Source organism: Homo sapiens, chromosome 10 (genome assembly GCF_000001405.40).
Source record: "Homo sapiens chromosome 10, GRCh38.p14 Primary Assembly".
NCBI classification, from domain to species: domain Eukaryota; kingdom Metazoa; phylum Chordata; class Mammalia; order Primates; family Hominidae; genus Homo; species Homo sapiens.
In genome coordinates, this window is record NC_000010.11 from 105,712,382 (window position 1) to 105,731,414 (window position 19,033).

Here is a 19,033-nt window from a genome sequence, read left to right on the forward strand (position 1 = left end):
CTCCAGAACTGTCAAAGAATAAATGTGGGTTCTTTTAAACCACTAGGTGTGTGGTCCTTTTTACAGCAGCCGTGAGAAACCAAGGTAATTCGTTTGTGGAATTGTCCCTCCTGTTTCACCTCCATGCAGTTCCAAGCTACCAGAAAAGTTAATTGATGGTTTATTTCCATCTGCTATTGATATCACATCTTTATTTTTCTTTACTTTATCATCTTCTGTTTTGGAGATGAGAAAGTTCAGCTTTAGAAATTCAATGTAATTTTCTCAAGGGAGTATCATTAGAAAGTAATAGAGTATCTGGTGGAATCCCTCTCTCCAGGCTTCCAAAGCTGACAGTCTTTCTAATACACTGAGCCCTTTCCCTGAATTTTAGCTTTCTTTTCTCCCTGTGTGATGAACAGAAAGCAGGGTGTCACTCTCCTTTTGAGTGTATATTTTATTGAATAAAATTTCAATATAGCCACGACTCTAATAATAATGGGATGTTAACTTACAAATGTTTGGAGACTTCTTCAAACTTTTTTGTGTCCCACTCCCTTTCAATTCTTGTGGATGAAAACAGAATCAAAGAGACAAAAATATCAACTTAAAAATTATTTCACTATGGGACTCTAAGGTCCCCGGGAACTGGATGACTAAAAGAATCTTTCCCAAGGTTTGGGTCAGTGCCATATTTTTTTACCATTTACATATATGTGGGCACATTCCTATGGTTTACATTGACTTGCTTTTCTCTTTCTAGGCTTTCTGTTTCCATTTTAGGTACAAAAATCCTATCCTTCTGATTCTTCCTCTTTCGTGTCCGGCCCCAGAGTAATGTTGCTATAAATCTATTATCAGTATCAATGATGATGATGATGTGTGATACTTATTAAATGCTTCCCATGTGCTAGATCCAGTGCTAAGCATTCTAGCATGAACACTTTTCATACTTATAACAACTCTATGACTTAGGTACTTCTGTTCCTGTTCAGGATTCTAAAACAAATAAGTTACTTGCTTAAAGTCCCAAAGCTAGCAAATAGCAGGACCAACAGTTGATCAAATTCTATCTCATGGGTGTGATGGCACATGCCTGTAATCACAGCTACTCAGGAGGCTGAGGCGGGAGGATCACCTGAGCTCAGGAGTTCGAGGCTGCAGTGAGTTAGGATGACATCACTGCACTTCAATCTGGGTGACAGAGCGAGACTCTTAATAAAAAGTATCTTATGTTAAAACTCATGCCTTTCTCTGTGCTTTCTTTGAGAACTACTCTCCTCATCCATCTCTAGGAAATCTTGCCTCCCAGCCATTCTGTTGCTGCATAACACTCATGTGGCTCTGTGGCTATCTAGAAACTCTGCCGTAATTCCCTATCTGGCCCACCCTTTTGGGCAGAGTCAGATACTTTCAAACCATCTCAACATTTTCTTCCTCATTCTTTCTGTCCCTAAGTCCACCAGCACTTCTGTTTTTTCAGAGCAGCTGGCCTACAGCAGCCATTCAAAAGAATAAAAACCTGATCACCCTCAATCCCACCCATGTGAGAACCTTTCCTGAGAAACTATGAAGAGTCAGACTTGACAGCAATAGAAAGTAGAGTCAGAGCTAACAGTAGTAGAAATTCAGAGTGGGTTTCACACAAACAGAGTAGCAACTGGTAACACTCCCATCTATTTTTTAATGTTTGCTTTACTTTGCATAATCTCTCTAAGCACTTCACCACATGGCCTACTTTTTTAACAGGGTAACCCACTCCCTTCCTCAGTCTCCACCAAAGGTTAGGACTCACTGGATTAAACAAAATATTGTTAAAAACAGTGACTTGATGAATGATGCTTAGAAACTGCATTCTATTCCTCTTAGAAAATTGGCCCAGTCTCACTGCTTCCCAGAAGCGTGATATGAAAAAAATGCAAGAGAACCTTAGTGAGGACTTTCTGATGCCCAGACTTGCTTGTTCACTGAGGGCAACCCCATTGTCTGCTCTAACACATAGCGACGTTCTTTTAAATGAGCCCCATATTCGCTTATCAAGGAGAGTGAGTGAAAAGTGAGAAATAAAACGCTTCCATTCTTTTCCATCAGCTATTACCTCAGTAATGGCACTCATAATGGTGGCATTAGAAAGAACTGGAAAAAAATCGTCATTACTCTTGGAGCCATGAGAAATGGAGATTCAAAAAGGTTATTATTGGTAATAGGTTCACACTATAACACGTGTAATGATTGTGGGCTTAGATTGGATGCTTTTGGCTTAGTGATGGTTTTCCAGTAGGAGTTGTGTGCCAGCTGCATAGAAGTGGAACCTCTGGACCAGAGAGTGGAACTAGGGGCTTTGTTCACATAAGGTCCCTAATATGGGGCCTTGCAGCAATGTCTCACTAGAAATAATAATTTCTTCCCAAATCTGCTCTGAAAAGTCCAGTTTCTGTGCTTACAAGAATCTCAGAGGGCAGGGAAGAAAGACAAGGCCAGATGAAGACAAGGCCAGATGAAGACAAGGTGGACAAATGAACTCTGTCTAGCTCGAATGAGCACGCTGCCCAAAAGCTATTTCAGGAATCTGAAAGCAACCACTTTCTGGATTGTTCTGTTAACACTCAGACTACAGCTGATGCATTACGTTTCTGCCAAAACCTGAGTTTACCAAGCCAGGATAATAAAACAACAACCAACCCCTTCTGCACCCACCCCCCAAAAAAATTGCCATTCTTACCCTAGAGAGGAGGGGATTTTAAATGGCAGCCACTGCTTAGCCAAAAGCATACATTCCAAAGTCTCCAATTTATGTATGCAATTGTTATTGCCTCTCTATGGCATTTAAGTTATAATTCCCTTTACCCTGAATTCTGAAGGGAGTGGAGTGAGGAAAGTAGGGAAATGTAAAATCCCTCTAATGTTTTATTACCTTTTTGTTTAAAACAGAAGTGTCATTATTAACTGCAGCTTTTCCATCATTATTTTCCTCTAGAGTTAAATGACAATAATTTTTATGGCTTCTACCATTATGGAGTAGTAGCAAAAACTTTAGTTGAAAAGTCAAGAACCTAGGTCTGATTTTTAGTTCTACTTCCAATATTCAGTTACTCAGACCCCAAACCCTTCATGCCTGTTTCTCTAATATTTCTCATTTCTTCCATCAGGAAATTGAAATACTTCTCACCATCTTTATCATTATTCCATGAAAGTCCATGTTACCATCATCTTTACACACAGCCGCCAAAATGCTCTTTTTTTTTTCTGCTGTGTAGTATTACATTAAGTGAATGTTGTTTTTTTAATTTTAGAAAGACAGGGTCTCGCTCTGTTGTCCAGGCTGGAGTGCAGTGGTGTGATCACAGCTCACTGAAGCCTCAAACTCTTGGGCTGAAGTTACCCTCTCTCCTCAGCCTCCCGAGTAGCTAGGCCTATAGGTGTGTGCCACCCTGCTTGGCTAATTTTTTTGTTTGTTTGTAAAAATGGAGTCTCACTATCTTGCCCAGGCTGTCTTGAACTCCTGAGCTCAAGCAATCGCCCACCTCTACCTCCCAAAGTGCTGAAATGACAGGCATGGGTCACTTCCCCTGGCTAGAATGCTCTTTCTAAAACAAAAAATTAGATTACTCTCCTGCTTCAAACCTCACTTTGAACATTCTCCAAAACTCTTACTCTTACCACATCCTAAAGGACACAGTCCCTGGCTCACTCTCCCACTTTTTCTGCCACTCTTTCCCCTCTTCACTGGGCTCCAGCCACACTGGCTCGCTTGCTCATCAACAGATGTGTTTCTGCCTGGAGCCTCCCTGTGCTGGGGACTCCAGTGGACACCCTTCTTGGGCTCCTCACAAGGCTTGCACTGGAACATGGTCTCCTCAGAGAGGCTTCTCTCACCACCCTCCCTACCTGGGCTGCCCCCAACACCATCCATATCTTACTCTACGTTATTTTCAGTGACTCATATCTACCTGACACTACCTTTTATTTTACTTGTTATTGCTGTTCTTCCCCAGGAGGATGACAGTCCTATCCAAGGATGGCTTTGGCTTGTTGTTTTGATTGCTCTTGTTTACCACACATTTACTGTGCCTAGCGCTTCCTTGAGCAGAGCAGGCACTGCCTGCATAAAGGATCTGTGTCACCTCACTTCATTTGGTCTAGTTTATTTCCTTCTTTATTTCTCTTTCTTTCTTCCTTTCTTTCCTTTATTTTCTTTTGCTTTATCTTTTCTTTCTTGCTTTCTCTCTCTTTCCTTCCCTCCCTCCCTTCTCTTTCCTTCCTTCCTTTCTTTCTCTTTCTTCTTTCTTTCTCTTTTTCTTTCATTCTCTTTCTTTTCTTTCTTTCTCCCTCTTTCTTTCTTTTCTTTCTCTCTTTCTCTTTCTTTTCCTTCCTTCCTTCCTTCCTTCCTTCCTTCCTTCCTTCCTTCTTCCCCTCCCTCCCTCCCTTCCTTCCTTCCTCTTTCTTTCTTTTACAATTAAGGTCTTAGATTTTAGGGTTTGTCAAGTGCCTTTTTGATTTGATGCTCTGGAATTCTATAGCCTTCATATTGTTCACTACTCCACCTATGATGCACAGACAATAAGACAGTAGCAGATACAGATAATTAAAAAGAAAATTTCCAAGAGATGGATATGAGTAATGGCTTAGTGCACATCCCACCATGCTTGTTTCTGTATGTGTGTGTGTTGGGATCCAGCATTCCCCATGGATGAAGTATGGATGAAAGAGTCAGAATGCTTGTTTTTGAGTCCCCACTTTGGCATTTCATATGAGTGACTGTGGGTGAGCTACTTACTTTCTTTGTGCCTCTGTTTCCTTACCTGGAAGAATGGTAAGATATTACCATGGAATATGGTAATCTTACTATGGAAGATAGTAATCCTTCTGATCTCATTAGGTTATTTTGAGAAGAAGTGAGTTAATACATGTAAAGAACTTAGAACATGGCCGGGTGTGCAGTGGCTCACGCCTGTAATCCCAGCACTTTGGGAGGCCAAGGTGGGCGGATCACGAGGTTAGGAGATTGAGACCATCCTGGCTCACACAGAGAAACCCCGTCTCTACTAAAAAATACAAAAGATTAGCTGGGCGTGGTGGCGGGCGCCTGAAGTCCCAGCTGCTCGGGAGGCTTAGGCAGAAGAATGGCGTGAACCTGGGAGGTGGAGCTTGTAGTGAGCTGAGATTGCACCACTGCACTCCAGCCTGGGCGACAGAGTTCTCACAAAAAAAAAAAAAAAAAAAAAAAAAACCACAGAGTAGCACCTTACAAGGACTAAAAATGTTAGCACTCTTTTTGTTCATGTTGATGTGTATAGACTGTTCTGGCCACCTTGTACCTTGCCTGCTCCTGCTTGTCCTTTGGCCTCCTCTTGTGGACCCTCTCTCCTCCAAGACTTGATGAACTTATCTGTGTGCAGACTTGTTCCATCTAGTTCACAGTAGTGGGTTGAATGTCATGAAATATTCACTGGGATTAACCAATCAATTCCCAATATTGATCAAATTCCTACATGGTCTAAACACTGGGGACATCCAAAGAATTGCAAATGCTGATTACTTTCCTCCAGGTTCTTATATACTAGTTGGGAATATGGAGCACACACAAAAAGGTAACAATACCAGGGGGTGGATCAAGCGCAAATGTCCTGGCACAATTAGTAAATATCAGAGGAAACCTGAGGAGGAGAGGGGCTTTGTGGTCAAGCTCCTTGGCTTGATCAAGATTTCTATGTCCCTACACAATCCATACCCACTTACCTCTTCCATCTCATCTCTTTCCATTCTTCTCCCTTGCAACCTCTTTTCATGCCACAACTCAGCTATACCAAACTTCATCCTGTCCCTTAAATGCTCCATAATTCTGTATTATCTCCAAGTCTTTGGATGTTCTTTCTCTTGCACAGAACATTATCCACCCATCTCTTTGACATCCAGCTATCCAATTCTACTTTCAGAAATCTGTTTAGATAACACTTTCTCCAGGGAACCTCCCCTGGAGCCTGGGTTTGGAGTCCTTCCTATCTACTGCTTTAGCACACTTTCGTTTTCTAACCACCTGCTTTCTCACTTCCTTCTCTCACAGACTTCCATGTGAGAAGTTTGCTGAACTTGCAGCTCCCTTCTGTATGCCCAGCCCATGGCACCATGCCTTTCATAAAATGTGGGTTAAACACAAATCTATTGAATAAATTATTGATTTGGCTACTGTTTTGGAAGAATTGTTTATCTTCATTCAGAAACATCTATTAAGAGACACAATAAAGAAATTCTTCCAGAGAAAAAGGAAGGCATTTCATATCTAGCAAAGCATTGATTAAAAGACAGTCTCAGTGCTCAGGACTGACATTGGAGTCTCTATTCTTTAATTTTTCATCTCTATTAATCTCTTGGTCTGAGCCTTCCACAGCTGCACAATATCCCAGCCATTCTGGAAAGAGTACTCACTTTCCCATGGAACTAATTACGGATTAGTCAGGCCCATCTGGGGCACCATGTTTTCATGCCTCTGGTTATGTAGCGATAACCTACCCATTTCTTTTTTCCAGAGCTACTTGGAAAACTGCAATTTGTCCTCCATTGTACAATTTCTCACTCTACCATGTTCTATGAACCATGTCCTTCTAGGTCTGGATGTCTGCCTGAGGACTAGGTTGAATTTGCCACATCTTTATTTGGCCTTAATCTCTGATTATTGAATCAAGCTCAGACACTGTCACCTCTGCACTATTCTGACTCATATTATAGCTAATTTTCTCACAAATTCCCCCCACCTGGCTTCCAGAGTTCTGTGTCTTTCTGTAGTAATTTCTAACCTTTTTTTGGGGAAAAAAAAATCATAACTAAAAAATATAACTTGTATTCTGCTTCCTCTGTGTCCCCCAAATCATAGAGGACAAACCAGACACATAGAGGTCTCTCAAACCGTGTGTGTGTGTGTGTGTTTAAGCACGAGGGTAGGGAATGCAGAAAGATATGTCCTAGTTGGTTTGGGCTGCTATAACAAATTACAATAGATTAGGTGGTTTAAACCAGCAGAACCCAGCCTTTTTGGCACCAGGGACTGGTTCCATGGAAGACAATTTTTCCACAGATGGAGGTGGGCATAGGGAGATGGTTTGGGATGAAACTGTTTCACCTCAGATCACCAGGCATTAGATTCTTATAAGGAGCATGCAACCTACATTCCACAATAGGGTTCTATGAAAATCTAATGCCACCACTGATCTAACAGGAGGTGGAACTCAGGCAATAATGCTGGCTTGCCTGCTGCTCACCTCCTACTGCGTGGCCCAGTTCCTAACAGGCCATGGACTGGTACTGTCTGTGGCCCGGAGAATGGGGTACCCCTGGTTTCAACAGCAAACATTTGTGTTTTACAGTTCTAGAGACTGGGAAATCCAGCCCTAAGATGCCAGCATGTCCGATGTCTGGTGAAAGCTCACTTCCTTATTTGCAGATGGCTATCTTCTTGTTGTATCATTACATAGCAGAATGGGGTGTGTGTGTGTGTGTGTGTGTGTGTGTGTGTGTGTGTGTGTGTATGTGAGAGAGAGAGAGAGAGAGAGAGATCCTGTGTCTCCTCTTTTTATAAGGGTGTGAATTCCATTCACGTGGGCCTGAACCTCATGGCATAATCTAACCCTCATTACCTCCCAAAGGCCCCACCCCCAAATATCATCACATTGGGGGTTAGGGTTTCAACAAAGGAATTTGAGGGATACAAACATTGAGTCCATAATAGATGACAATCATAAATAAAGTTTTAAGCCACCGTACTATCCAGTTCAATGTTATTTGAGTACAAATAATTCATAATACTGGGGTAACTTTGCCAGCTGTTAAGAATTCTACTCTTCTGGAAATGTTTCAAGAGACAAAAGATGTTCTCTTTTTTTCCAGTTTTTGCAGCCAGGCTTCAATTTTGTCTGGCAGGTACATTTTTGATAAGGGACTGTTCAGTGTTTAGAGCCAGCGATTCCTCCCCACATGCCAATTACTGTCAACTCTTGTGTGGACATATGTGAGAGCCATGGTTGATGCTGACACACACAGGCACCTCACAGAGGCTTCCAGTCCTGCACATGGCAAATGATTACTAGGCTGAGATTGACTCCAGAGACAAAGATGATTCTGTTTTCTCTAAAGGCTTTTCACATGGTGTTAAGGGAACTATAGATTGTTAATGGAAAAAGTATATTCATTAATATTTAATTTTCTTGAGCTGTAGCTCCTTATGAAGAGCTCCCTTATGTCAAGCATGCTGGGTTGTTTGGAGATAGCCAAGTATGCTTAGACTGATGACCTTTGTACATTAAGTGTTCCTGGTGCTGTGACATTATTACAAATCCATGATACTCAACTCAACTGCATTTTCTTTACCTGAGGTCTCTCAATTATCCATGGCCCTTATTTTTGAGGCTTCAACTCTGCTGCTTCAATCATGACATCTGAAAAAGAATGCATACCCTGGTTTTCTAGTTCCTTAAAATATATTTAATATGTATCCATTATGAGTTAGGCATTGTTATAGTTGGAAGGGACCCAGATGTATAAGACACAGTCCCAAAATAGAGGTAAAATAATTTGAATATCTACAACTTTAATCTTGCTGAAAATACATCCTTTCAGACTTCTTTTACAACTAAGAGAAAGATATAATCGTTTTCCTCCTTTTTTTGCATTTTTTTTTCATTAAGCTTATAAATAAGAACCTATTCTGTCCAGGTACTGTTCTAGTTTCTTGGGATGCAAGAGGGAAAAAAGGAAAATTCTCTGCTTCTTTAGAAATTAAACTCTAAATATAAAAAGATAAGCCTTTAAAAACAAATATATACATAAGATAATTTTATATAATGATGAGTATTATGAAGATAATAATGTGTATATATACATACGGGTAGGGGGGAACCAGGCGCAAGTAAAGGGATTGGCCTTTGATGAGGATAAGGGTATTTATTTCATTGCAACTAGAGGAGAGGCAGAGATTTGGAAGTAGATGCAAGTAAATGACAGAATAGTGATAGAAACTTGAGAAGTTTTTGTCTGTTCCTATTTCATAAGTGAAGTTTGGGGCCATGTCATCATCTGAGATTAAGGAAGGTAAAAGGGTAAAGTAAGTTTAAAGAGATAATTATGAAATTATCATTTCAAAAAGTGGAAGTGTAAACGCACTATGGAAGAGAGGTTGGACAATGTTAAGAGCCCATTTTAAAATTTGACATCATAAGTCAAAAGTGGGACCAATAGGATTTTACTAATATTTGGTGGTATGGTAAGTGAATATAATAGAAAAAGTGGAGGTTCAGGAAGTTATGGTTGTTTGCAAGAGTGGTTATAATAATGACTATAGAATTTAAGTTGGGTGAGAAGGAAAATGAGAGAGGGAAGGGAATAATAGAGTCAAGAGAGTGAACAGTGGACAAATAGGTGTGGTTGAAATATTGTTGGATTAGGCATCTCAGAGAAAGCAAACTCCTTTAAGGCAAAGTCCTCCAATCATGCCCTTGATTTGATCTCATAGCCATCTCATCTGGAATATTCCACCAATTAAAACTTTTCTCAATTGAACACTTAGTATTTCCTCTCCAAGGTCTACTTCATCTACACTCGCCAACATTACCTAATGGCACAATAAGAAATTCATCTTTGATCTTGTTCTCCCAAACTCCCAACAAGTCTCTCCCTTCATTCTACACCAGTTTCTTACCCTCAGCACTATTGACATTAGGGCCAAATAAGTCTTTATTGTGGGGGGCTGTCTTGTGTGTTACAGAATGATTAACACCATCATTGGGCTCTACTCAATAGGTGTCACTAGCAGACACTGTACCCTGCCATTGTGATAGCCAAGTACATCTCCAGATAGTGCCACATATTTCTTGGAAGCAAAATCACCTCCAGTTAAGAACTATTGTTCTTCACTAATTATTTCTATGTACTCTCCACCCACTTATTCCTACATCCTACAATTTGACTTATATATCATTAGTCAGTAATAGTTCTCTGTGAAGTTTACTGCCCACCAAATGCAATGACTATTTGGCATATCTTCATCATTTTTGTTTTTTATCCAGCTTTTAAAAATCCCTTTTGATTTACACCTACATTTGTTCCCAGGATGTTCTATCTTCTGCTTTTCATCTGACTTCTGAGATTATTTTCACTCTCAAATCTTTTATCCTTCTGCATTTCCAATGTAAGGCTCTATGGACCTGTCCCTAAATAAATCAATTTCTATTATTTCCTCACATAACTGTACAACTTCTATTATGACCTCTATGCAAATGAGAAATATAGCCTGTTTTTAGAGTTTCAGCCTCTCTCCCAAGCTAAAAGATTATATTTTTTCCTGCCTTTCTCTTACTTACTTTTATAAATTTCTCTGGAACTTGAAAATTCAAACCCCCAAGCAGATCATTTCCTCTAACCTTACTGTATACTCCAAAATAATGTTCTATTATACATAACACTACATTCCCAATCTTTTAGTGTCAAAATGCCAGTGTAATCTTTGATCTGAGCACTATGCCACTGAGCACTACACCACTCTTTCCAAAAGCTATCTTATCCCGACCTAATTACCTCATTGACAGAGTCATTTCCCAAATTTAGTCATTCAATAGTTTTGCCTAGATCAATGCTCTGGCTACTATTATGATCTCCTAGGCTACAATCCTTCTCTCTTCTAATCAGTTATTGAAATTCTTTTAATAGTTTTCCAGAAGCATATACGTGATCATGACAACACAACATTCCTATACTTTACCCAGAGGCTCCCGTGATTCTCTGTGACATTCATGAATATTTCTAAACTCTTTAGTCTATTGCCACGTCCTCTCCTACTTGGTTCTAAACTGTCTTTCCAAATTGACTTACCTTTGTACTAACAAATGTAGAAAGGACTTAGCTTGAAGATGCAACTCAGTATTTTTTTCCCCTTAGCTTCACTTAGGATTTTCACTGTTCCTGGATTCATCCTCTCTCCCTCTTCCTGTCTAACAAACACATCTTGGCTCTGACAAATTCTCCTGATCTTTTCAGACCCCTTACTTTGCTATTTCTCTATGGCCTCTTCTCTTATCCCACAATTGAAAAGAAAACATGATTTACAGAGTTCTTACAGTAAGACATAGACTATGATGTGTGTGTGGGTATGTATAGATACCTATATCTATATAGAACAGATTATTTCTTACATAAAAAATACATTTAATCTTCATTTTATAGATAAAAAACCTAGCACAATGAGATTAAGTGACTTGTTTCACTTGACATGAAGTTGAGGTTCAAGAGCTGGGATTTTTTCCTACCTCGGTCTGTGTGGCTCTAAAATCACTTCTTCATCCACTACAAATGTGACTTCAAAAGTAATGTTACCTTACCCTGAATGTTCACTGTTCTTTATCTAAACTTCCATTTTAGCATTTTTATTTTCAATATTGTGCAAGTTATATATGTAGACATTTCATTTTTTGTTCTGAGCTCCCAAAAGTTCTCTATATGAATCATGTGTATATCTACCAAACCACCTAATCCAGTACCTCACACATTCAACGAAGGTTTTCAGGGAGTTTGTCTGATGGAGAGATGCAATTTTGTTATTGTGCATTTCAGTACTGATCTGAGCTCTAGATAAACATTCCAATTCAAGATTCAACCCTAGGTAAGCATTCCAATTCTAGAGTGATTAATACTTCACATACCACAACTTGAAACTTAGACCTCCACCATATGAAGAGCCATCAATATGACTAGTGTTGGAAATAGATACTGTTTTTGCCCTTAACGCCTAACTTTTCTGCAATAGAAATATATTTCTTGGAGGGAAAGTCATTATGACCTATTAAAATAAAATCATATTTTGTTGGAAAAATATATACACTTGTAATCAAAGTAATATCATAGTCAGGAATTAGTCATCTTAGAGGAAGATTCTGGGTAATATTATTGCATGAGTGTTGAAGAGTCGAATACATGTTCAAAACCTTTTCCTAATATTTACTAGTTATGTTGCCTTGGCCATGTTTTCTAACATTCTGGGCCTCAGTTTCCTTTTCTGTAAGATGAGAGATTTACTAACATCACTTCATAGGGTTGTGGGGAATTTAATTGAAAAAACAAAACAAAACAAAATATTTATCAGAGTGCCCAATAAATGAAAACTCAATAAGTGATATATAGAAATAATGTACAAAAAAAACTGTATATAACAGGGGTTTGTGGGAAGCAGGAGATAGGGAGGTGAAGTAAAACAAGAGGTAAAAAAAAACCCATCAAGCACAAATTGTAGGTTTTAAATTTCCCCAACCTTTGGCTATGTCTGATTCTCCTGACTGTGTAAGTATATGGTATACACTAATTTGTGAAAAAACACACTGCTTGTGACTTGTGGCAGTATGATGCAGTTCCTCAGCCTCCACTCCACGCCAGGGTGAACATTTATCAGCAAACAAAACACAGCCTAATGACATCAGAAAATGACCCTTCCTTGAATCTGTGGGGTGGGTTATCTCTCACACATCTCTGTATTTTCTTTTCTGCCTATTAGTACCCATTGCTGTTGTAAACAAGAAGTTATGGTAGCAATCTGGATTGGCCTTTGAAGGCTCTCAACATTGGTAACAATTCTGCATGACCATTTGACCTGCCACCAAATGGAACGCTGCTTTCAGCCTTTCGGAGGGGTCGTGTGTGTGCTTCTTGTGGCAGATGGTAAAAACTCTCCACGTATTAAGAGGAAGAGCCACCTACTTCTTAAATTGAGCCCTTATGAGGGTATCAAGTACATCTGATCACAGGCAACCTGAGGGTGAGGGTGGGCAGCTGGATTACGAATTAATCGTGGACATGTAGATTATGGATGGAGGAGGCGGGTCAAGGTGAGTCACAACTCCTTTGAATAGCCAGCGGCCACAGAGAGTGGTGGCCAATGCCAGAGCCTCCGACTGACCTAAGGACATGTATTACAGATCACCTGAGCCCTGTTTCCTTATCTGTATAATGATAATGTGAATCTCACAATGTGGTTACAGCATTAAAAAATAGGTATATGAATGTTCCATGTAAGTAATTTTTAATAACCTGACGTTAACTGATTGCTATCATGATTTTCAAAGACTTACCTATCATTCTATGAAAACCAATGCTGTGATAGATTAACTTTTTGTAATCTGAATTTTTTTTCTTTCCTGTATCAGAAAAGTTTGATGTCTTCATTAGCAGGTGGAATTAATAGCCTCCAAGCGTCTTGTAAGTTGGAGAGGAGAGTCCTAGCCCTCTACTTCAGTGGGTGATTTCTCCTTTGGGAAATATTTTCTTGTATTAGGAGACATTATATAAATTACATAAATCAGACACCAGAAAGTAAGTTTCAATGTTTTTGGTAATTTCTAGAAAAGCATAGGAATGAAATAAAATAAAGCCTCCTCAAATTCTCATTTGTTTCTTCCAGGCTGGAAATATGTTTTCTAAAGTGAAGCTTGTTTTTCTTCCATTATTTTTGAGGACTTGTCTATTAGATCAAATATCAATCAGCCAAAGGTAGCATATGACCATGATAAAAAAAGAAGGTTCTTAATCATTCATTTAGCAAATATTTATTTTGTGCTTATTATATGCTGCGTACTAGGATCCTCACAGTTTGAAGGGAAGGGTGGATGTAGCAGGGAGACAAACAAGTCCACAAGGAATAGTAAAGATGAAGTCTAAAATAGGAAAAGTTACCTGTAATCCCAGCACTTTGGGAGGCTGAGGCAGGTCGATCACCTGAGGTCAGGAGTTCAAGACCAGCCTGGCCAACATGGTGAAACCCCATCTCTAATAAAAATACAAAAAATTAGGCGTGTATGGTGGCAGGTGCCTGTAATCCCACCTACTCGGGAGGGTGAGGCAAGAGAATCACTTGAACCTGGGAGATGGAGGTTGCAGTGAGCTGACATCGCACCATTGCACTCCAGCCTGGTCAATAAGAGTGAAAACTCTATCTCAAAAATAAATAAATAAATAAATTAAATAAATAAATAAATAAATAAATAAATAACAAAATAAAATAGAAAAAATTCAAAGATCTAAAAGAGGGCATCTAATTCAGACTTGCAGTTCAGAAAACTTCTCAAAGGAAATATGTCTATTGTGACCTGAAGGATGGGATTCAAATGAACACTGGAGAGGAAAAGTTTTCAAGATGGAAAGAGCAATATGTGCTAAGATAATATATTTGTGCAACTTTCTTCATGCATACATTTTGAGAAGGAGCATGATCACTGAAGAATCTAGAAAGGCAAGGTAGGGCTAGATCTTGCAAAATCATGCATATCATGCTAATTTTGAACTTTACCTCATGAACAAAGGATTTCCTGGCATTGAAATGTTGTATGCAGGCATGTAACTCTGGCTACAGTAAGAATGAGGCTTGGAAGAGCTGAGGTAGGCAAAGGCGAGGTAGAGGTAGCCAGACCAAATATATTACTATTTAGCAAGTGCATAGTGGACACATATTATATCAACAGTTTTGTGCAGAGTCTTGTAGGAGAAAAAATATGTGACAGTCCCTGCCCATAGAAGAAGACTGGGATTTCTTGGAACTGGCAAGCCAAAAATTGCGCTTGACAATGTTAAATGGTTATGAAAAGACTTTATTCAAGAGTAATGCGATAGCAGGGAGAAACCAGAACTCAGTCTGAACTTGATCCAGCTGAAACAAGAAGTCGGAGAGGTTTCCAGAGCTGGTGGGGCCCAATCTTATTCCACTTGTATTGGCTAATTGGCCATACCTAAAAGAAAATAAACTTTCTCCTATCTTCATGGCATCATATATTTTTACAACTGGGAGCAAGACACCCAAGGCCATTAGGCTCTTATGCGCCCTCAAAGACTTGGAGAAAGAGGCATTATTTACTTTGTTGATTCCATTTCAAAGGGTGGCTCCTGGTCCTAGAGAAAGACATTCCTGGGTTGTAAAACTGACCAGAGGCTGGAATAAGATTTATATCTCAAAGGGACAGATAGAGAATTTGCAATTACAAGTTTTCTAACTTAAGGAAAGGGAGGCCAGGGGCCTTGAGACAGGGAGAGAAGGGTGTAAAGTCGGATCAAGCTGAGGGAAACCTTAAAGTGGACTTGGTCAAGGCAGTCAGAAGCAACTTGCCATAAGCACAGTATTTTTTCCAAAATATAATTTTACTTCAGCATGGCACATGTATACGTATGTAACTAACCTGCACAATGTGCACATGTACCCTAAAACTTAAAGTATAATAATAAAAAATAGAAAAAAAAATCACATTATGTATGTATTGTCAGGCCTCTGAGGCCAAGCCTGCATGTATACATGCAGATGGCCTGAAGCAAGTGAAGAATCACAAAAGAAGTGAAAATTGCTGTTTCTTATCTTAACTGATGACATTACCTTGTGGAATTCCTTCTCCTGGCTCAGAAGCACCCCCACTGAGCACCTTGTGAACCCTGCCCCTGCCTGCAAGAGAAAAACCCCCTTTGACTATAATTTTCCATTACCTACCCAAATCCTATAAAACGGCCCCACCCCTATCTCCCTTTGCTGACTCTCTTTTTGGACTCTGCCCGCCTGCACCCAGGTGAAATAAATGGCTTTATTGCTCACACAAAGCTTGTTTGGTGGTCTCTTCAAATGGACGTGCGTGACATTTGGTGCCATGACTCAGATCAGGGAACCTCCCTTGGGAGATCAATCCCCTGTCCTCCTGCTCTTTGCTCCGTGAGAAAGATCCACCTACGACCTCAGGTCCTCAGACCAACCAGCCCAAGGAACATCTCACTAATTTTAAATCAGGTAAGCGGCCTCTTTTTACTCTCTTCTCCAACCTCTCTCACTATCCTTCAACCTCTTTCTCCTTTCAATATTGGCGCCACCCTTCAATCTCTCCCTTCTGTTAATTTCAGTTCCTTTCCTTTTCTGGTAGAGACAGAGGAGATGCGTTTTATCCGTGAACCCCAAACTCCGGCATCAGTCACGGACTCAGGAAGACAGTCTTCCCTTGGTGTTTAATCACTGCAGGGACACCTGCTTGATTATTCACCCATGTTTCAGAGGTGTCTGATCACTGCGGGGACGCCTGCCTTGATCCTTCACCCTTAGTGGCAAGTACCACTTTCCTGGGGGGCAAGCACCACCTCCCCTGGGGGGCAAGTACCCCCCCCACTCCTTCTCTCTGTGTCTCTACCCTCTCTTTTCTTTGGGCTTGCCTCCTTCACTATGGGCAACCTTCCACCCTCCATTCCTCCCTCTTCTCCCTTAGCCTGTGCTCTCAAAAATTTTAAACCTCTTCAACTCACACCTGACCTAAAACCTAAATGCCTTATTTTCTTCTGCAATGCCACTTGACCCCAGTACAAACTCAACGATGGTTCCAAATAGCCAGAAAATGGCACTTTTGATTTTTCCATCCTATCAGATCTAGATAATTCTTGTCATAAAATGGGCAAACGGTCTGAGGTGTCTGACATCCAGGCATTCTTTTACACATCAGTCCCTCCCTAGTCTCTGTTCCCAATGCAACTCGTCTCAAATCTTCCTTCTTTCCCTCCTGCCTGTCCCCTCAGTCCCAACCCCAAGCGTCACTGAGTCTTTTCAATCTTCCTTTTCTACCGACCCATCTGACCTCTCCACTCCTCCCCAGACTGCTCCTCCTCAAGTCACTCCCCACCAGGCTGAATCAGGCTCCAATTCTTCCTCAGCCTCTGCTCCCCAACCCTATAATCCTTCAATCACCTCCCCTCATCACACCCAGTCCAGCTTACAGTTTTGTTCCATGACTAGCCCTCCCCCACCTGCCCAACAATTTCCTCTTAAAGAGGTGGCTGGAGCTAAAGACATAGTCAAGTTTAATGCTCCTTTTTCTTTATTCGACCTCTCCCAAATCAGTTAGCATTTGGGCATTCTTTTTTTTTTTTTTTTTTTTTTTATCAAATATGAAAACACAGCCCAGTTCATGGCTCATTTGGCAGCAACCCTGAGATGCGTTATAGCCCTAGACCCTGAAGGGTCAGAAGGCCGTCTCACTCTAAATATGCATTTTATTACCCAATCCACTCCCGACTTTAAATAAAGCTCCAAAAATTAGATTCCAGCCCTCAAACCCCACAACAGGACTTAAATAACCTCGCCTTCAAGGTGTACAATAATAGAGAAGAGTTACAATTACTTGCCTCTGCTGTGAGACAAAACCCAGCTGCACCTCCAGCACACAAACACTTCAAAATGCCTAAGCCACAGCAGTCAAGCATTCCTTCAGGACTTCCTCCATCAGGATCTTGCTTCAAGTGCCAGAAATCTGGCTTCAAGTGCCAGAAATCTGGGCCAAGGAATGCCCTCAGCCTGAGATTCCTCCTAAGCTGTGTCCCATCTGTGCAGGACCCCACTGGATATCAGACTGTCCAACTTGCCCAGCAGCCACTCCCAGAGACCCTGGAACTCTGGCTCAAGGTTCTCTGACTGACTCCTTCCCAGATCTTCTTGGCTTAGCGGGCTGAAGACTGACGCTGCCTGATTGCCTCGGAAGCCTCCTGGACCATCACAGACGCTTTGGGTAACTCTTACAGTGGAGGGTAAGTCCTCCCCTTCTTAATCAATATGGAGGCTACCAACTCCACATTACCTTCTTTTCAAGGGCCTGTTTCCTTTGCCTCCATAACTGTTGTGTATTTTGATGGCCGGGCTTCTAAACCTCTTAAAACTCCCCAACTCTGGTGCCAACTTGGACAATATTCTTTTACGTACTCCTTTTTAGTTATCCCCACCTGCCCAGTTCCCTTATTAGGCTGAGACATTTTAACTAAATTATCTGCTTCCCTGACTATTCCTGGACTATAGCGACACCTCATTGCCACCCTTTTTCCCAGTTCAAAGCCTCCTTCACAAACTCCCCTTGTATCTCCCCACCTTAGTCCACAAGTATGGGACACCTCTACACCCTCCTAGGTGACCGATCATGCACTCCCTTACCATCCCATTAAAACCTAATCACCCTTACCCTGCTCAATATCCATCCCACAGCACCCTTTAAAATGATTAAAGCCTGTTATCACTGGCTTGCTACAGCATCGCCTTCTAAAGCCTATAAACTCTCCTTACAATTCCCCCATTTTACCTGTCCAAAAACCGGACAAGTCTTACAGGTTAATTCAGGATTTACGCCTTACCAACCAAATTGTCTTGCCTATCCACCCCGTGGTGCCAAACCCATATACTCTCCTATCCTCAATACCTCCCTCCACAACCCATTATTCTGTTCTAGATAAACCTAGCTGACCCCATAAATCCTAAATCCTTTCCCCACTCCCTTTTCCATTCCTTAAAAAACAGCCCTAAAAGCTGCTCCCACACTAACTCTCCCTAACTCATCCCAACCCTTTTCATTACACACAGCTGAAGTACAGGGCTGTGTGGTCAGAATTCTTACACAAGAGCTGGGACCTCACCCTGTAGCCTTTCTGTCCAAACAACTTGACCTTACTGTTTTAGCCTAGCACTCATGTCTGTGTGCGGTGGCTGCCACTGCTTTAATACTTTTAGAGGCCCTCAAAATCACAAACTATGCTCAACTCACTCTCTACAGTTCTCATAACTTCCAAAATCTATTTTCTTCCTCACACCTGATGCATATACTTTCTGCTCCCCACCCACTTCAGCTATATGCACTCTTTGTTGAGTCTCCCACAATTACCATTGTTCCTGGCCCAGACTTCAATTCGGCCTCCCACATTATTCCAGATACCACATCTGACCCCCATGACTGTATCTCTCTGATCCACCTGACATTCACTCCATTTCCCCATATTTCCTTCTTTCCTGTTTCTCACCCTGATCACACTTGGTTTATTGATGGCAGTTCCACCAGGCCTAATCGCCACTCACCAGCAAAGGCAGGCTATGCTATAGTATCTTCCACATCTATCACTGAGAGGCTACTGCTCTGCCCCCCTCCACTACCTCTCAGCAAGCCGAGCTCATTGCCTTAACTCGAGCCCTCACTCTTGCAAAGGGACTATGCGTCAATATTTATACTGACTCTAAATATGTCTTCCACATCCTGCA

At 41.0% G+C, this 19,033-nt stretch overlaps 1 long non-coding RNA gene across 1 annotated transcript in view, besides 1 other annotated feature; it reads right to left on the minus strand.

The window, feature by feature from the left end:
• The window catches only part of LINC02627 (long intergenic non-protein coding RNA 2627), a 146,724-nt gene that overhangs the window by 38,772 nt on the left and 88,919 nt on the right, over nucleotides 1-19,033 (minus strand). The gene's annotated exons all lie outside the window — the stretch shown is intronic.
• Nucleotides 14,861-16,060: an enhancer, noted in NCBI's record as "P300/CBP strongly-dependent group 1 enhancer chr10:107487000-107488199 (GRCh37/hg19 assembly coordinates)". NCBI's record gives its function as "activates an origin of replication core promoter dependent on BRD2, BRD4, P300/CBP, MED14 and CDK7 cofactors, with strong dependence on P300/CBP, by STARR-seq in HCT116 cells {active_cell/tissue: HCT116}" and the evidence as "EXISTENCE:reporter gene assay evidence [ECO:0000049][PMID:35650434]".